General features: G+C 51.8%; 1 protein-coding gene across 4 annotated transcripts, besides 1 other annotated feature; it reads right to left on the bottom strand.

Moving 5' to 3' along the window:
- Positions 1 to 3,866: 3,866 nt before the first annotated feature.
- On the bottom strand, positions 3,867 to 18,159 carry PRRT1B (proline rich transmembrane protein 1B). Of its 4 annotated transcripts, none has more exons than NM_001395643.1 (4): positions 18,042 to 18,159; positions 8,653 to 9,125; positions 7,469 to 7,612; positions 3,867 to 5,629 (listed from the first exon to the last, which is right to left on the bottom strand). In NM_001395643.1, the coding sequence occupies exons 1-4, from the start codon at positions 18,064 to 18,066 to the stop codon at positions 5,480 to 5,482; spliced, it is 792 nt and encodes a 263-aa protein (NP_001382572.1). In that variant the 5' UTR covers positions 18,067 to 18,159; the 3' UTR covers positions 3,867 to 5,479. The 4 variants fall into 4 exon arrangements, with proteins under 4 accessions (NP_001382572.1, XP_016870901.1, NP_001352595.1 ...); NM_001365666.1 differs by having other exon boundaries at positions 4,483 to 5,629; positions 18,027 to 18,159; XM_017015412.3 differs by lacking the exon at positions 18,042 to 18,159 and having other exon boundaries at positions 8,653 to 9,326.
- Positions 11,766 to 12,267: an enhancer, noted in NCBI's record as "NANOG hESC enhancer chr9:134426802-134427303 (GRCh37/hg19 assembly coordinates)". NCBI's record gives its function as "activates a minimal SCP1, AML or CMV promoter by ChIP-STARR-seq in primed H9 embryonic stem cells {active_cell/tissue: H9 hESC(primed)}" and the evidence as "EXISTENCE:reporter gene assay evidence [ECO:0000049][PMID:30033119]".
- Positions 18,160 to 19,335: the final 1,176 nt, after the last annotated feature.

Below are 19,335 nucleotides of genomic sequence, written 5' to 3'. Positions count from 1 at the left end.
TGGCAGGCGCCTATAATCCCAGCTACTTGGGAGGCTGAGGCAGAAGAATCGTTTGAACCTGGGAGGTAGAGGTTGCAGTGAGTCGAGATGGCACCACTGCATTCCAGCCTGGGTGACAGAGCGAGACTCCAACTCAAAAGTTAAAAAAAATAAATAAATAAAAATAAAGCTTCTAAATCTAAAAGACATTATAAGAGCATCTTCATGTCCTATGAGTACAGAAATTTTATTAAGCCACAAAAGCCACTGAAATACTCCTACACACATACTATTTACAAAGGAAAAGATAAGCTTGACTACCTTAAAACTGAGAACTTTTCAGCTGGACACAGTGGCTCACGCCTGTAATTCCAACACTTTGGGAGGTCAAGGCGGGCGGATCACGAGGTTAAGAGATCAAGACCATCCTGGCCAACATGGTGAAATCCTGTCTCTACTAAAAATACAAAAATTAGCCAGGCATGGTGCAGGCACCTGTAATCCCAGCTACTCAGGAGGCTGAGGCAGGAGAATCGCTTGAGCCTGGAAGGTGGACGTTGCAGTGAGCAGAGATTGCACCATTGCACTCCAGCCTGGGTGACAGAGCGAGACTCCATCTCAAAAAAAAAACAAAACTGAGAACTTTTCATCAGATGATACCATTAAGAATGAAAAGGGAGGGAGGCTGAGGCCGGAGAATCACTTGAACCTGGGAGGCGGAGGTTGCAGTGAGCAGAGATCACGCCATTGCACTCCAACCTGGGCAACAAGAGCGAGACTCTGTCTCAAAAAAAAAAAAAAAAGTGAAAAGGGAAGCTACCAAGTGAGAAAGGATGTTTGCAATACTGTATCTAATGTAGGACTCATCCCAAATACATACAGAACTGCTCTAAAACAAAGACAGTCAAACATAAAAATGGGCACAAAACTTGAACAGGCACCTCGTAAAAAGAGATATCCAAATAGCTGGTAAACATGATAAAAGGCTAGGCCAGGTGCAGTGGCTCACACCTGTAATCCTAGCGCTTTGGGAGACCAAGACAGGAGGATTGTTTGAGGCCAGGAGTTCAAGACCAGCCTGGGCAACATAGACTCTTGTCTCTTTAAAAAAAAATTTAAAAATCAGCCAGATGTAGCAGTGCACACCTGTGGTCGCAGCTACTTGGGAGGCCAAAGCAAGAGGATTGCTTAAGCCCAGGAATTCCAGGTTACAGTGAACTGTGAACATGCCACTGCACTCCAGCCTGGGGCAATGGAGTGAGACCCTTGTCTGTATTAAAAAAAAAAAAAAAAAAAAAAAAAAAACATGATAAAAGCCTAAATATTATTAGTCATCAGAGAGATGTAAATTAAAACCAAACGGAAATACTACTACACACATATCAGAAGAGGTAAAACGTAAAAGACTGACAAATCCCAGGGGCTGATGAGGATGGGGAGCCGCTGGAACTCTCATTCATTGCTGGTGGGAGTTCAAAATGATGCAACCACTTTGGAATGTAGTTTGGCAGCATCTCGTTTACTTTTAGTGTTAATATACTCACAACCTATGCTCAGAAAAGCCCTTTTTCACCACTCTCTCAACCACCTCTGAATGATTCTAAGAAATATTTTTGTATCTCTTAAATCAGGACGCACTCTAATTTAATGACAGTTTTTTCTCAGTTGCACTCAACATTTCAGATTTGCAGGAGCTACCTCTCCTTCATGGCACTTTAGAATAGTTTGCAGCTACATTATCTGCTAAATGTCTGTATCCCATGTTGGACTGCTAGCTCCAGGAAAACAGACCTTTCCTTCTTCATGACTGTGAATCCAAAAACTAGAATTTCTGGGTCAAAAGCCGTACATGTTTTTTGTTATTTTTTAAATTCACAATACATCCTATTTTAAAATTCAGCAATGCATTGCACAAACCCTCCTCATCATATTCTGTACCCAAAGGCAGCCACTATCAGCAATTTGGAATAAATCCTTCAGACTCTATTCTTTGCATGCATATGTCCATAGTTATATGTCCATGCATACATGACAAGAACATTATATGTATATAAATAATAAATATGCAAATCAATAGTGATAAGCAGTTAAAAGTGCAAAAATTTTAAATTCCTCTCACATACATACTCTTTTTTTTTTTTTTTTTTTTTTTGAGACATGGTCTTGCTCTGTCACCCAGGCTGGAATGCAGTGGCATGATCACAGCTCACTGCAGCCTCAACATCAGGCTCAAGCAATCCTCACACTCTAGTCTCCCAAGTAGCTGGGACTACAGGCCCATGCCACAATACCTGGCCTTTTTTTTTTTTTTTTTTTCTGTAGAGATGATCTTGCCATGTTGCCCAGGCTAGTCTCAAACTCCTGGACTCAAGCACTCCTCCCACCTTGGCCTCCCAAAGTGCTAGGATTATAGGTGTGAGCCACCATGCCTGGCCCATACATACATTAGTAACAGATACCATCAGTCTCCTTTCCACAAAGATTATGGCAATACATATCCACTAGTAATAAATGTGAGAGTCAGCAGTCCCTCTGCAACGCTAGATGTGTTCACCTTTTCTAATTCTTTCACAATCCAGTGGGTAAAAATCATATCTCATGATTTAAATCTGCATGTTCCTGATATATAGGACTCAAATAAATCAATCTTTCCCTCTATGGTTTTCTAGATTTTAAGAGGCCTCCCGTTTCCATACTGCCCCAGCACCCTGAAGTTACACACATATTTTCCTAAGCTTTATTATGATTAGAGCTTCATTTTATACTTAGCTCTTTAATCCATCTTGAATTTATTTTTGCATACAATATTAGAATAATTATTTTTTCCAACCAGATAGCAACTCTGCTTATTAGGAACCTTCTTTTACTCAATTAAAATGCCATTTTTAGCAAGTGCTAACTTTCCACATATACTGGTAATGTTTTCTAGATTTTCAATAATTTTTCACTGATTTAACTCTGTGGCAATGCCATGCCATTTTGATTATTATAGCTTTATGGTCAGTTTTAATATCTGGTGAAGAAAGTCTCCTCTCATTCAACTTAAAAAAAGATTAGCAATCTTCGCATATTTTTCCTTCCAAATTAATTTTAAAATAATCTTTGTCATTTATTTAAAGCTTGGTTTTCTTGCCAGAATTGTATTAAATCTCTATCTAAAATATCTATAAAAAATAGATATTTGTATATTACATCTTCTACCAGGATATTTTGTTGTTTATTTTTGGTCTTTTGGTATTTTTTATCTTTTTTTTTTTTTTTTATGTATTTCGAGATGGAGTCTCACACAGTCAGCCAGGCTGGAGTGCAGTGGCACAATCTCAGCTTACTGCAACCTCTGCCTCCAAAGTTCAAGCGATTCTCCTGCCTCAGCCACCCGAGTAGCTGGGATTACAGGTGTGCACCACCGTGCTTGGTTAATTTTTGTATTCTCAGTAGAGATGTTTCGTCATGTTGGTTAGGCTGGTCTCGAACTCCTGACCGCAGGTGATCCGCCTGCCTCAGCCTCCCAAAGTGCTGGGATTACAGGTATGAGCCACTGCACCTGGCCTTTTGGTAGTTTTTTAAAATAATTTTCTTAATTTGGTCTCCAGATCTTTTGTTAAGTTATTCCTAAATTTTACTGTTGTTATCACTATCATAAGTTGAATTTTAAATTTTTTCCAAGTGTACCTGGTTATTACTATTGCTTTTGTATATTTATTTTGTATCCAACCACTTTACTGAGTTATCTTACTAGTTCCATGTTTTTAATTGACTCTTGGATAGTCTAGCTAGGTAATAATTTTTTGTCTCTTCTAGTTTTCATACTACAAATTTCACTTTTTTATTTTTTGCATTAGCTGGAACTTCACAACAATGTCAAATAATAGAGACACCAGGGGGCATCCATGTCATGATCCTGGTTTTAATGCCTTTTAGTAGTTTTGATAATTTCCCACTTTGCTATTGGTTTGAGTACCAGCTTCAGCATCACTGGGAAGCTTATTAGAAATGCAGAACCTCAGGCCCTGCTTACTGAACAAAAATCCACAGAGTCTCCAGGCTGCTCATGACTTACTTCCTCATGCCTGCCTCTCCAGCTTTCTGGAGGAGGGACTGGGCTGGGCTGGGCCATTCTCCTGTTTCAGCCCCTGGTGCCAGGGTTGTAAGCAGCACACCGAGGCTGCTCTGAAACCAACTGATTTAGCTTGAGCTATCAATATTGTGTGGCTCAGCTGGGGGTCCCCTTCCTCCTCTGTCTGCAATGGTTGTTTGTTTTTGAGGCAGAGTCTCACTCTGTCACCCAGGCTGGAGTGCAGTGGCACAATCAGCTCACTGCAACTTCTGCCTCCCGGATTCAAGCAATTCTCCTGCCTCAGCCTCCCGAGTAGCTAGGATTACAGGCGCCTGCCACTACACTCGGCTAATTTTTGTATTTTTAGTAGAGACAGGACTTCGCCATGTTGGCCAGGTTGGTCTTGAACTCCTGACTCAGGTGATCCACCCACCTCGGCCTCCCAAACTGCTGGGATTACAGGTGTGAGCCACCTCGCCTGGCCTCTGCAATGGTTTTGAATCTTGTTAAAATGCAGGTTCATTCTTGGGACCACAGCTAGTGGGACTGGGGTGCCAGGAATCTGATGCCAGAGTCATAGGTACGGTTCTACAGGCTGGCCGAGGGATCTTGGTGCAAGTGCTCCCCAGTCAGGGCGGTCCTCATCAAACGAGCACCCAGCTGATCCTCTGTCATTGGGTAGTTCTTGCCAGCACTGCCTCTATGCCAACAGCATCTCAGAGAGGAGTGGGTAGGGTGCCCTGGAGCCCAACTGTGGACAGATGTTGCCATTGGCCCTGGAAGAGAGCCAGGAAGTGTCCCCAAAGTAGCAGTGTGAAGCTCCGCACGGATGTGTCACTTTCTGTTGATTGACCAGACAGAGTGGCCCTGGTTTCTGGATGTAGGGTCAGCATGAGGGACCCTGTCTCCTGGGATGGGGAAGGGATAGGGGAACAACCAGCCAGAAGTCACCATGCTCCACTCTCCCGCAGGGAAAGGTAATACTGGCATCCTGATCGCCTAAGCTGGGCTGGAGGTTGGGCGGGGGGCGGAGGTTGCAGTGTCCTTCCAGATGGCTCTGAAGACAGAGAAGGCTTTGGTCCCTACGATGGCCTCCCAAGAGCACAGATGAAGGCAAGAGGAGTCCCAGGAAGGCCTTGAGAGGAGGCTCCTGGGAAATGGGGCTCTGGTGGGCTCCTGTCCCACGGCTGGGGCCGGGCTCTGGAGACACCTTGGATTAGGACACTGACTGAGGCTCCAGTGGGCCACCTGTGGAGGCTGAGGAGGCTGAGGCCCAGCCACAAGTCAGTTGAGGGCTGCCAAGCCTGCCCTCTTCTGGCCCCCAGATTCCCTCTGCAGGCAAGAGCTGGCCACCGGCAGGGATCTGAGTCCAGAGAAAGGGTCTGGCCCGGCCAGTTTTCCGTGGACATTCCGGCATCCGGCATCTCCGCAGGAGCCACAGCCTCAGGGAAGGTAGAGTGCCACCACCACGTAGATGACCCAGCTGGTAGACACGAAGACCCCGAAGAGCAGGCTGAAGAGCACCAGCGAGCGGGCCTTCCGCGAGGCCTCCTCAGCCTGGGCCAGGTCACCCCTGCCCAGTGCTGCACGGGCCTGCAACGAGACAGGGCAGGAGGGGGCGGTGGGAGCGAACAGGGAGCCCCCACTCCCTCCCAGTGCGATTGAGGGCTAGGCCCAGTTCCACAAACTGAGAAACTGACATGCTGAAAAGGTCAGGGACCTGCCAGGCCCACAGCTCGAAAGGGGGCAGGCGTGATGGCAGTGGCGGCCGCCAGCCATCAGGCGCTTGTCACGCTCAGCACTGACAGTTGCCCTCAGCTTCAACCTCTACCATCCTTGCAGCAGCCCTGAGGCTGACCCCACTTTGCAGATATGGAAACAAAGGCTCAGAGAAGTTAAGTGACCTATCCAGGGTCACAACACTAATGGTGGAGCCAGAATTCACCAGCAGGCAGCAACCTCTCAAGTCCCACCTCTGAGTTGTCCTGAGAGCTGCCTTCTGCTTATGGCTGGGGGCTTGAACAGCAGAGTCAAGCCAGGGCTGAGTCCAGGTCAGCCTTGAGCATAGGCCCCCCAGAGCCTTGCCTGCTTTTGTTTGTTTTTTTCTTGAGACAGAGTCTTGCTCCGTCTCACAGGCTAGAGTGCAGTGGTGCGATCTCAGCTCACTGCAACCTTCACCTCCTGGATTCAAGTGATTCTCCTGTCTCAGCCTCCTGAGTAGCTGGGACTAAGGTGCCTGCCCCCATGCCCGGCTAATTTTTGTATTTTTAGTAGAGACGGGGTTTCACCATATTGGTCAGGCTGATCTCGAACTCCTGACCTCAGGTGACCCACCCACCTTGGCCTCCCAAAATGCTGGGGTTACATTTGTGAGCCACCATGCCCAGCCCTGCTTCTGTCTCTATTAGAGTGTCATCACATTGGCATCTTTGAATCCCAAGGGCCTAATAAATAGATGAATCGATAGAGGGATGGGTGAGTGGATGGATGGATGGAGAGTAGAGAGATAATGGGTGGTAGGTGGGTGTATGGATGAGTAGATGGATGGATGAATAGAGGGATGGATGGATGGGTAGGGATTGGTGGGTGGGTGAGTAGGCAGATGGATGAATAGTGGGGTGAGTGGATGGAAGATGGTAGATGGATAGTAGATGGATGGTAGATGGATGATGGATGGATGATGGATGGATGGAGGCTAGAGAGATGGTGGATGGGCCAGGCACAGTGGCTCACGTCTGTAATCCCAGCACTTTGGGAGGCTGAGGCAAGTGGATCACCTGAGGTCAGGAGTTCAAGACCAGCCTGGCCAACATGGCGAAACCTCATCTCTACTAAAAATACAAAAAATTAGCTGGGCATGGTGGTGGGCGTCTGTAATCCCAGCTATTCGGGAGGCTGAGGCAGGAGAATCACTTGAACCCAGAGGGTGGAGGTTGCAGTGAGCCGAGATCACGCCATTGCACTCCAGCCTGGCAACAGAGCAAGACTCTGTATCAAAAAAAAAGAGAGAGATGGTGGATGGGTGGGTGGATGGATAAATGGGTGGGTGAATAGATGGGTAGCTACAGAGATGGAGAGATGGGGTGGATGGATAGATGAGATGAGCATAGGAATGAATGAGCAGATTGTACCCCCTTTAAAACACAAGCCTCCACTGGAATGGGCAGCACATTGGGTCTTATCAGTCATTCACAGCTTTACCGTGAATTGTTTTGGCCAAACATTCCACAGCACATTTTGAATAGTTGGGGGCAGAGACAGGAGGAGCAAGGATCCCACAAACAACTGGGCTCTGACTTCCCAATTCCCACCCCCCTCCAGAGGGAGAGACACCAGAGACCGTGTTGCTGGAAGAGGGGCTCTGTGGACCCACTGGGGCGCCAGTGGCTGCGTGCTAGGAGAGGCTGTGCCCAGGGCCGCCCCCGCACCTACCTCGTGGGAGTAGACGATGGCGATGAGACCGGTGAGCAGACAGCAGAAGAGGGTCACCAGCACTGACTCCATCATGTAGTCCTTTGGCAGGGGCCTGTGCTCCACCGTGGCAGGGCCTGGCACGCCAGCCATCGGGCCATTGTACTGTGGGGGCAGAGCCACAGTGGTGAGGGAGCTGGCCCAGCCTCTGGACAACAGAGTGAGTGAGAAGGCCAGCCAGGCCATGCAAGCTCTCTCACTCAGTCCCCCAAGTCCCCACCCACTGAGGCTGCAATTCACGGAGGGGTTGGGTCAGGGTGCCCCTCTGCCCTCTCCCTCTTGCACCCCTGGCCACTCAGCCCCGCTGAGCCCTCAGTCCCACTGAGCCCTCAGTCCTGCCCTCTACCATTGGCTCAGTCGAGGGTCCAGCCTCTGTGATATCTCTATCGTCCTCACTGGGCTCGCCACCCCTCCCTGGGGGGCCTCCAATCTTTCCCCCACAGGCAGCCCAGGGCTTTTGTTTATTTTTATTTTTATTTTTATTTTTGTTTTTATTTTGGAGGCAGAGGCTTGCTCTATCACTCAGCCCGGAGTGCAATGGTGTGATCTCGTCTCACTGCAGCCTCAACCTCCCTGGCTCAAGCAATCCTCCTGCCTCAGCCTCAAGAATAGCTGGGGCTACAGGCGCGCACTACCATGCCCGGCTAATTTTTTTACGTTTAGTAGAGATGAGGGCTCACTATGTTGCCTAGGCTGGTCTGGAACTCCTAAGCCCAAGCCATCTGCCTGTCTTGGCCTCCCAAAGTGCTGGGATTACAGGTATGAGGCACCGTGCCCGGACTGTTTTGTTTTTAAAGAAAATCTAATCAAGTCACCTCCTGCCCAAAGTTTCTGGGGTCCCTCCCCACGGGTTCCACCTTCCTGCCCTCCCTACCAAGCCAAACAAGCCTCCACCATCCCCAGAACGCCCAGTCTCGGCCCCTCCACGCCTGTGCGGTGTCCTCTGTCCAGGGCGCCCGTCGTTCTCTTTGCCTTAGCCCTCCTATTCATCCTCCAAAACCCCGCTCAAATGCCCCCACCTCCAGGGAGCCTCCCGGACTCGCCCGCCCCCAGGGACAGAAGTGACCTATCGGCCTCCGCACGGGCGCCCCCGACCACGCGCAGACAGCACGGAGGGGAGCGCGCCCAGGGCGGCGGCCACTCACCACGGGGAAGGGGAAGGCGGCCCCGGCGGGCGGCGAGAAGAGCGCGGGCGGCGTGGGCGCGGCTGGGTAGAGCTGGGCGGGCGGCGGGAAGAGCGCAGACGGCGCGGGCTGCAGGACCACGGGCACCTGCGGGAAGGGCGGGTACAGCAGCGGCGCGGCCTTGGGGTCCGGCGGCGCGTAGGGCGGGGGCTCCCCAACGAAGCCGATGTGGGGGGCGCCGCCGGCCGCCGCCTTGGAAACCGGCCCGGCCTCGCCCGCCGCCTGGGCCGGGGCGTCCTCCGGGGCGGGCTCGCTGCCCCCCGCGGCCCCGTCCTCGCTGGGCGCCCCGTCCTCGTCCAGGGTCCGCGGGCGGCGCGGGAGCTGCGGGAGCGCGGGCTGCGCGGGCATCTGGGGATCCTCGGGGGCGGCGGGCTTCGCGGGGCTCCGGGGGTCCTCGGGGGTGGCGGGGCTGCCGCCCCCTTTCGTGTCGGACCCTAGAAAGAAATGGCAGCGGTCGTGAGCAAGAGGCCGCCGGGCTAGGTGGGACGTCGCTGGTCCCGCAGTTCCCACGAACCAAGCTCCCAGCCCTCTGCAGCTGGGCCTCATAGGATCGTGACGCAAAGGGACTAAAAAACAGGCCCAGAGGGGCCACCTGCCTTGCTGGAGTCACACAGACTGAGCGACTCATCTGGGTGGGAACCCAGGCTGCTGACCCCGCCCCTCCCCGCACTGTCCCACCCCCTTTCCTTGGCAGATGGCCTCTATTGGGAGGTAGTTTCACCCCCAACTAAGGCCTTTATGTCAAAGCTAATTGGACCAGAAAAGGATAATCCGCCCAGGGAAGCCCCTGATTGGCTGTCCTGAGATACACCTCCAATGAAGGGGACGCCTACCTGAGGAGATGAGCTGAACCAATTAGATTCTTGGCTTGGAGTTGTAGGGGAGGGGTGAGGTGCCCAGGAGCTGCCAAACTGTAGCTAGAGTAACATGGTGGAGCCAGGAGGTCACTAAGGGCCATATGCACACTGAGAATGGACACCAGAATATACAGGGCCCAGCAGCTTGAAGCCAGGGCTCAGAGCCTCAAAGCTGCCCAGCTGCCTTGCTCCCGACCCAGGCCCTGGCCTTCAGCACCCAACGATAGGTCCTGGTGGTGCCTGGTCAGGTCCCAACAAATTCTTAAGGCTGCACCTCCTGAGAGCATCCCGACCAGCTGAGCACCAGAGGGCCTCAGGCAAGGGTACAAGGAAGGCCCTGGAAGAGAATCGCAGAGTGGCCTCCCCTGACCTGCGTGGGCATTCAGGCCTCACTGCAGAAGTGGGCAGCCCAGAGCCAGGGGTCTGGCTTTGGAGGTCCATTTCCTAAGTGTCCTTAAGGGTTATAAAAGGCAGAGGGATGAGTGAAACAGACATCACACAGACATCTCAGTGGGGGTGGGAGGACCCTTCCTGAAGTCCCCCACGGGTGGAGGCAGGGATCCTTGCCAGAGTGATCCCAATGGCAGGGAATGATGAGCCCCTGGGCGTGTCCTGCCTCAACCCCCTCCCAGCAGCTAGGGGCTCACTCATGGCCCCTGCACCCCATACACCTGCCACGCTGTTTATACCTCCACACCTTTACCTGTGATGTTCCCTCTGTTTCTCCACCCCTTGGATCTGGGCTTGACCATGTGACGTGCTTTGCACAATGGCACATTGACAAACATTTTGTAAGCAGAAGCTTTAAAAACCTTTCTCTCCAGGTTAACAGGGGCTGGGGCTGGGGAGTTAGTGTTTCAAGGGTGTAGAGTTTCTGTTTGGGAAGATGAGAAAGCGTCCCAGAGATGGATAGTGGTGATGCCTGCACAACAATGTGAGTGTTCTTAATGCCACTGAATCGCACACTTAGAAGTGGTTCAAGTGGTAAATCGTATGTTATACATATTTAGCACCATTTTTTAAAAGCATGTCTTTCCAGCTGATGACAACTGAAAAGTCTAGACAAAATACAAAAAGGAAGCATCTGAGGTCACTGAAAGACAAACAAAAGCAGGGAGGTTGCGGAGTGGAGTCAAAACTTAGAGAATGGCCAGGCACAATGGCTCACGCCTATAATCCCAGCACTTTGGGAGGCCGAGGCAGGTGGATCATCTGAGCTCAGCAGTTCGAGACCACCCAGGGCAACATGATGAAACCCCGTCTCGCTAAAAATACAAAAAAAAAAAAAAAAAAATTAACCAGGTGTGGCAGCACAAGTGTCTAGTCCCGGCTACTTGGGAGGCTGAGGCAGGAGAATTGCTCAAGCCCCAGAGGTGAAGGTTGCAGTGAGCCGAGATCACACCGCTGCACTACAGCTTGGGCTACAGAGTGAGACTCCGTCTCAAAAAAAAAAAAACCTTAGAGGTTGGGCTCCCCCCCAAACTGCATGTGCAGGAGACAAACCCAGACCAGCCTAAAAAAAAACTCTGAAAACTGACCCAAGTTTGGAAATGCCACTCATAGAAGGTGAAACAGAACTTCTGGCCTGAAACTACGCAGGCTGACTGCCTCCTGAAACCAAACAAACCCACCTTCTCCAGGGAATTGTAACAGGACCAAGAATCTACACAACATACTATTCACAATGTCCAGGACACAATCCAAGACTGTTCGCCATACAGTGACCAATGCTCAAAGGAAAAGACACTCAGCAGATGCCAACCCTGAGATGACCTGATATTGGAATTTTCAGAAAAAGCAGCCATTATAACCATGCTCCATGAGGTCAAGGTAAACACACTTGGCCAGACATTGTGGCCTCCTCACAGGAGGGGGCAGTGAGCTGTGATTGAACCACTGCACTCCAGCCTGGACTACAGAGTGAGACCTTGTCCTCTCTAAAAGGGGGAAGTGGCATGTGACAAACTTTCCATGCCTCCATTTCCTCATCTGTAAAGTGAAGATAAATCACAGTAATAATCATTTTTAGAGAGGCGAACATGGCTGGATGCGGTGGCTCACTCCGGTAATCCCAGCAGTTTGGGAGGCCGAGGCGGGTGGGTCAGTTGAGGTCAGGAGTTCCAGACCAGCCTGGCCAACACAGTGACACCTCGTCTCTACTAAAAATACAAAAATTAGCCAGGTGTGGTGGCGGGTTTCACTCGTGTCCGTGTGAAGAGACCACCAAACAGGCTTTGTGTGAGCAATAAAGCTTTTGAATCACCTGGGTGCAGGCAGGCTGAGTCCAAAAAGAGAGTCAGCGAAGGGAGATGGGGTGGGCCGTCTTATAGGATTTGCGTAGGTAAAGGAAAATTACAGTCAAAGGGGGTTGTTCTCTGGTGGGCAGGAGTGGGGGTCACAAGGTGCTCAGTGGGGGAGCTTTTGAGCCAGGATGAGCCAGGAGAAGGAATTTCACAAGGTAATGTCATCAGTTAAGGCAGGAACAGGCCATTTTCACTTCTTTTGTGGTGGAATGTCATCAGTTAAGGCAGGAACCGGCCACCTGGATGTGTACATGCAGGTCACAGGGGATATGATGGCTTAGCTTTGGCTCAGAGGCCTGACATTCCTGTCTTCTTATATTAATTAGAAAAATAAAACAAAATAATGTTGAAGTGTTGGGGCAGCGAAAATTTTTTGGGGGTGGTATGGAGAGATAATGGGCGATGTTTCTCAGGGCTGCTTCAAGCGAGATTAGGGGCGGCGTGGGAACCTAGAGTGGGAGAGATTAAGCTGAAGGAAGATTTTGTGGTAAGAGGTGATATTGTGGGGTTGTTAGAAGGAGCATTTGTCGTATAGAATGATTGGTGATGGCCTGGATGCGGTTTTGTATGAATTGAAAAACTAAACGCAGGTCGGGCGCGGTGGCTCACACCCGTAATCCCAGCATTTTGGGAGGCTGAAGCGGGTGGATCATGAGGTCAGGAGATTGAGACCATCCTGGCTAACACGGTGTAACCCCGTCTCTACTAAAAATACAAAAAATTAGCGGAGCATGGTGGCGGGTGCCTGTAGTCCCAGCTACTCGGGAGGCTGAGGCAGAAGAATGGCGTGAACCCGGGAGGCAGAGCTTGCAGTGAGCCGAGATCGCGCCACTGCACTCCAGCCTGGGAAACACAGTGAGACTCTGTCTCAAAAAAAAAAAAAAAAAAAAAGAAAAAGAAAAGAAAAAGAAAAACTAAACGGAAGACACAAGGTCCGAATAAGAGAAGAAAAAAAACAGGTATTAAATGACTAAGAATTGGGAGGACCCAGGACAGAATTGAGTGCCCAAGGAGGTTCAGCATAGCCCTGCCAGAAAAGATTAGAGAGGGAGTTGAGCATAGTTTGTTATTCTGAGGGCCTCTAAAAGTATTAAAGCAGCGGCAGCTGCTGCACGCAGACATGAGGGATAAGCTAAAACAGTAAGGTCAAGTTGTTTGGACAGAAAGGCTACGGGGCGCAGTCCCGACTCTTGCATAAGAATTCTGACTGCACTGACCATGCCTAGGAAGGAAAGGAGTTGTTGTTTTATAGAAGGGATTGGGGTTTGGGAGATTAGCTGCACACGATCAGCAGGGAGAGAGCACGTGTGTTTTCATGAGAATTATGCCGAGATAGGTAACAGATGAGGAAGAAATTTGGGCTTGACTGAAGTAATGGGGGCTGTCTGTGAAGCCTTGTGGCAGTACAGCGCACGTAATTTGCTGAGCCTGATGGGTGTCAGGGTCAGTCCAAGTGAAAGCAAAGAGAGGCTGGGATGAAGGGTGCAAAGGAATAGTAAAGAAAGCATGTTTGAGATCCAGAACAGAATAATGGGTTGTGGAGGGAGGTATTGAGGATAGGAGAGTATATGGGTTTGGCATCACGGGGTGGATAGACAAAACAATTTGGATGATAAGGCGCAGATCCTGAACTAGCCTGTGAGGCTTGCCTGGTTTTCGGACAGGTAAAATGGGGGAATTGTAAGGGGAGTTTGTAGGCTTTAGAAGCCCATGCTGTAGCAGGCGAGTGATAACAGGCTTTAATCCTTTTAAAGCGTGCTGTGGGATGGGATATTGGCATTGAGCAGGGTAAGGGTGATTAAGTTTTAATAGGATGGTAAGGGGTGCATGATATACTTGTGGATTAAGGTGGGGAGATACAAGAGGGAGACACAAAGGAGGCTTTGGGTTGGGAAGAAGGGCGGCAATGAGATGTGGCTGTAGTCCAGGAATAGTCAGGGAAGCAGATAATTTAGTTGAAATGCAGATAATTTGGTTAAAATGTCTCGGCCTAATAAGGGAACTGGGCATGTGGGGATAACTAAAAAAGAGTGCATAAAAGAATGTTGTCCAAGTTGGCAGAGTTGGGGAGTTTTAAGAGGTTTAGAAGCCTGGCTGTCAATACCTACAACAGTTATGGAGGCAAAGGAAACAGGCCCTTGAAGGTAATGTGGAGTGGGTAGCCTCCGTATTGATTAAGAAGGGGACGGACTTACCCTCCACTGTGAGAGTTACCCGAAGCTCAGCATCCGTGATGGTCTAGGGGGCTTCTGAGGCGATCGGGCAGCGTGAGTCTTCAGCCACTAAGCCAAGAAGATCTGGGAAGGAGTCAGTGAGACAGCCTTGGGCCAGAGTTCCAGGGGCTCTGGGAGTGGCTGCCAGGTGAGTTGAACAGTCCAATTTTCAGTGGGGTCCCGCACAGATGGGACATGGCTTAGGAGGAATCCCGGGCTGGGGGCATTCCTCGGCCCAGTGGCCAGATTTCCAACACTCGTAGCAAGCTCCTGGGGGAAGAGGTTCTGGAGGAATGCCTGGCAGCTGCGGTTCAGGCGTTTGAAGTTCTTGTGTCCTGGAGATGTGGTTGGGGTTTATCTCACAGTGGAGGCAAGGAATTGCAACTCGGAAATACACTGCTACTTGGCTGCCTCTACTCTATTATTGTACACCTTGAAGGCAAGGTTAATTAAGTCCTGTTGTGGGGTTTGAGGGCCGGAATTTAATTTGGGGGGTTTATTTAATGTCGGGAGCGGATTGGGTAATAAAATGTATATTGAGAATAAGATGGCCTTTTGACCTTTTAGGGTCTAGGGCTGTAAAGCATCTCACAGTTGCTGCCAAACAGCCATGAACTGGGCTGGCTTTTTCATATTTGATGAAAAAGAGCCTAAACACTAACTGATTTGGGAGAGGTCGGATAAAGAAAAGGGAGCATTAACCTTGACTATGCCTTTAGCTCCAGCCACCTTTTTAAGAGGAAATTGCTGGGCAGGTGGGGGAGGGCTAGTCGCAGAATTAAACTGTAAGCCAGACCGGGTGTGAGGAGGGAAGGTGATAAAAGGATTATAGGGTGGGGAAATGGAGGCTGAGGAAGAATTCGGACCTAGCTCAGCCTGGCGCAGAGCAGCCTGGGGAGGAGGGGAGAGGTCAGATGGGTCTGTAGAAAAGGAAGATTCAAAAGACTCAGTGACGCTTGGGGTTGGGACTGAGGGGACAGGCGGGAAGGAAAGAAGGAAGATTTGGGACAAGTTGCATTGGGAACAGAGACTAGGGAGGGACCGATGTGTAAAAGAATGCCTGGATGTCAGGCACCTCAGACCGGTTGCCCATTTTACGACAAGAATTATCTAGATTTTGTAGGATGGAAAAATCGAAAGTGCCGTGTTCTGGCTATTTGGAACCACTGTCGAGTTTGTATTGGGGTCAAGCGGTGTTGCAGAAGAAAATAAGACACTTAGATTTTAGGTCAGGCGAGAGTTAAAGAGGTTTTAAGTTCTTGAGAACACAGGCTAAGGGAGAAGAAGGAGGAATAGAGGGTGGAAGGTTGCCCATAGTGAAGGAGACAAGTTTAAAAAGAAGGGTAGAGATACGGAGAGAAGGGGTGGGGGATGCTTGCCCCCCAGGAAAGTGGAGAAGGGGTGGGGGATGCTTGTCCCCCCAGGAAAGTGGAGAGAAGAGAGGGTAGAGACACAGAGAGAATGGGTTGGGTGAGCAGCCCTGGCTGCAATGTGGGTGAGCAGCCAAAGCAGGCATCCCCGCAATTGACTTGCCACCAAGGGAATGTGGGTGAATGACCAAGGCAGGCGTCCCCACGGAGATCAGATACCAATGGATTGTGGGTGTATAATCAGGCAGGAGTCCCCGCAATGATTAAACACCAAGGGAAGACGGTCTTCCCAAGTCCGTGACCGGTGCCAGAGTTTTGGGTCCACAGATAAAACGCATCTCCTTTGTCTCTACCAGAAAAGGAAAGGAACTGAAATTAAGAGAAGGGAGAGATTGAAGTGTGGCACCAAGACTGAAAGGAGAACGAGGTTGAGGGATAGTGAGGGAGGTTGGAGAAGAGAGTAAAGAGAGGCCGCTTACTGGATTTAAAATTGGTGAGATGTTCCTTGGGCTGGTTGGTCTGAGGACCCGAGGTCGTAGGTGGATCTTTCTCACGGAGCAAAGAGCAGGAGGACAGGGGATTGATCTCCCAAGGGAGGTCCCCCGATCTGAGTCACGGCACCAAATTTCACTCGCGTCCGTGTGAAGAGACCACCAAACAGGCTTTGTGTGAGCAATAAAGCTTTTGAATCACCTGGGTGCAGGTAGGCTGAGTCCGAAAAGAGTCAGCGAAGGGACATGGGGTGGGGCCGTTTTATAGGATTTGCGTAGGTAAAGGAAAATTACAGTCAAAGGGGGTTCTTTTCTGGTGGGCAGGGGTGGGAGTCACAAGGTGCTCAGTGAGGGAGCTTTTGAGCCAGGATGAGCCAGGAGAAGGAATTTCACAAGGTAATGTCATCAGTTAAGGCAGGAACAGGCCATTTCCACTTCTTTTGTGGTGGAATGTCATCAGTTAAGGCAGGAACCCGCCATCTGGATGTGTACATGCAGTTCACAGGGGATATGATGGCTTAGCTTTGGCTCGGAGGCCTGACATTGGGCGCCTGTAATCCTAGCTACTTGGGAGGGAGAATCCCTTGAACCTGGGAAAAGGAGGTTGCAGTGAGCCGAGATTGTGCCACTGCACTCCAGCCTGGGCAATAGAACGAGACTCAGTCTCAAAAAAAAAAAAAAAAAAAAAAAAGCGAACAGGAGGCCAGGCTCTGCTCTGAGAGCTTTTGCTTCGTAACCCGCGTCATCTCGGGCGCGCTTTTGTTTTTATGCTCCCCATTTTACTAATGAGGGAACCGAGACTCCCAGCAAGAAACGTGGGTCTCAGCGAGTCAGCTCTCCACTCTAAACAGGTCTCTCCGGGATGGTGTCCCTGCCCCAGCTATCATAACAAAAACCGCAGTTTCCCTGGATCCCGCCAGGGCAAATATCTGGCCCGATGGCGCGGAGATAGGGCCCCAGAGTAAATAAATCTGCTGGCGGCGCTGCCTGGCGGGGGCCTCGGGTGGGTTCTCAGGTTCTCAGGCTCTTGACACCGGAGCCTCCGCCAGGCATTCCAGCTGGGAAGGGGGGTCCGGGCTCCCCGCTGGGCAAGTGCTTGAGGGTCTGGGGGGGAGTCCTGGAGGGCGGGGCGGCGGGGAGGGGCCAGCGCTCCAGCATCTCCCGGAGCTGCTTGCAGATGGGACTGGTGCGCCCCATCCCCGGGCTCTCAAGATCAGTCGCGCTGGGGGATGAGGGGGCGGGGAGTGCGCGAGACTCTGCAGGGGTCCCACTGCCACCGCCCCACTGCTTCCAGCCAGCCAGAGACTCCCCAGGGCAAGGACGAGGTCTCGGTTCCTTGCCCCCCGCCCCTTCCAGCGCCTGACGCCTGGGGGTGGGCGACGTCGAGTTGGTCGCAGCCTTGGCCGGATCCCACCCGCGTCCGCGCCTCTCTCCAGCTCTGCCCCCACCCCACCTCTCTCGGTCCCTGTCTCCAGCTCTCCGTCCCCGAATTAGCCCGTGGGGTCTCTTCCCAGGTCGTGCTCCCTACTGCAGGCTCTGTCTCCACCCCGCCCTGGCCAGGGTCGCCCACTCCCCTGCTGCAAGGACTTCAGCCTGGCCGGGGCGGTGAGCTGAGCTGCCAGAGGCGGGACACGGGGCGGGAGTGGGCAAAATGCTCAGAGAATGAACCGCCGCTGCCCCCTCCCTGGCTTGCCCGCAGGGGCGCCCCCAGAGCTCCTGAACTTTCCACAGCAGCTTCCTGGCTCTCCCCACCCTGGCTCCGGATGGGGTGTCCTGGGCCGGGCATTCTCCCCCATCTTGCTACCGCCGGCCTCCGGGGCACCACAGCCCCGGGCCTGGGCCCGCCCTGCCGATCCCTGACCCTCCAGAACATGGCCCGCAGTTATCTACCCGCTAAACCCCCTCCAGCACCCGCCCCACCAGCACCTGCCCCTCCAGCAGCCGACCCTCTGGTATCTACCCCTTACACCCCCTCCAGCACCCGCTCCGCCAGCACCTGCCCCGCCAGCACCTGCCCCGCCAGTACCTGCCCCTCCAGTACCTGCCTCGCCAGTACCTGCCCCGCCAGTACCTGCCCCGCCAGTACCTGTCCCACCAGCACCTGCCCCTCCGGCACCTGCCCCTCCAGCTCCTGCCTCCATGGTCCGAGCCCGCGGCGGCTGCAAGGGCTGCGCGGCTCCCTGGCCCGGCGCCTGCCGTCGGGCCGGCTCCGCTTGCGCCGCGGGCTCAGGTTTCCTGGTGCCTGCCGTGCGGCCGGTTAATAATTGACCGCCTTGTTTGCCCAAGGCTGGGTCAACAACAGTCGCTCCCTGGCGCCCTGCGCTCGGCCGGACCTGCCTCCCTGCCTGCCTGGGTAGGACGGGCTCGGTGGAGACTCCGCGGCGCTGTGCAGGGCTGGAGGGGTTGGGGTAGGAGGGCGAGTCAGCCACGCCGGACTAGAGAAGGCAGGGTGGCACACGAGAGTGCCCGCAAGGCCAGCGAGTCAGCATGAGACAAAGAGGAGTGGTGGGGACCTGGGCAACTGGACACCACAGCCGGACGGATGTGAGCTGCACAGACGAGAGTCATGGTGTCTCTAGCTTTCTTTTAATTTTCCAGCAACAGAAGCCAGAAACGTAGGTTTTTATGTGAAATCTCTCTTTTCTGTTTTTGTTTTGTTTTAAGGCAGAGTCTCCCTCTTTTGCCCAGGCTGGAGTTCAGTGGCGCCATCTCAGCTCACTGAAACCTCTGCCTCCCGAGTTCAAGCGATTCTCTTGCCTCAGCCTCCCGAGTAACTGGGATCACAGGCCCCGCCACCACACCTGGCTAATTTTTTTTTTTTTTTTTTTTTTTGTATTTTTAGTAGAGACAGGGTTTCACCATGTTATCCAGGATGGTCTCGATCTCCTGACCTCGTGATCCGCCCGCCTTGGCCTCCCAAAGTGCCGGAATTACAGGCGTGAGCCACTGCTCCCGGACGAAATATCTTGACTTTTAAAAATCATTTGTGTGGGACTTCTGTTCTCTGAAATGTGCCAGACTGGAGAATCTGAGGCAGGTCCCAATCCAACCACGTGGAAATGCTAGAGACAGGACACCAGCATGCCAGGCAGCCTTGTATGTTCATAGCTGAGCTCCCACGTAGCCAAGAGAATCCTCAGGGACCAGCAATGAAGAGGGAGGGACAGATATGCCCAGGAAGTATGCAGCAGCCCTGGGGGCTTTGGTCTCAGAGTCTAGGGCTTGATTTTTCCATCCAGATGTGGACAGGAGGTGAAGCCTTGGGTCTGGGAAGCAGGGAGTTGGGATGAAGAGAAATGAACAGAAAACAAAATCTGCCTGTGGCCCAAAAGGGTGACAAGGAAGCTGGTGTGACCCAGCCTGGATTCTGGAAATAAAAATCTTCCTGGGAGTTGTAGCCCTGGGCCTGT

Source organism: Homo sapiens, chromosome 9 (genome assembly GCF_000001405.40).
Source record: "Homo sapiens chromosome 9, GRCh38.p14 Primary Assembly".
NCBI classification, from domain to species: domain Eukaryota; kingdom Metazoa; phylum Chordata; class Mammalia; order Primates; family Hominidae; genus Homo; species Homo sapiens.
The sequence above is the reverse complement of the archived record's forward strand: the minus strand, read 5'-3'. Positions and strand labels throughout refer to the sequence as shown.

Excerpts from the sequence above, each read along its gene's own strand:
- PRRT1B (XM_017015411.3), bottom strand. The coding sequence starts at position 9,237 with ATGAGGCCCAGCTGCAGAGGGCTGGGAGCTTGGTTCGTGGGAACTGCG. Across the intron at positions 7,613-8,652 it reads CCGCCTTCCCCTTCCCCGTG|TACAATGGCCCGATGGCTGG; the intron begins GTGAGTGGCCGC and ends CTGCCCCCACAG.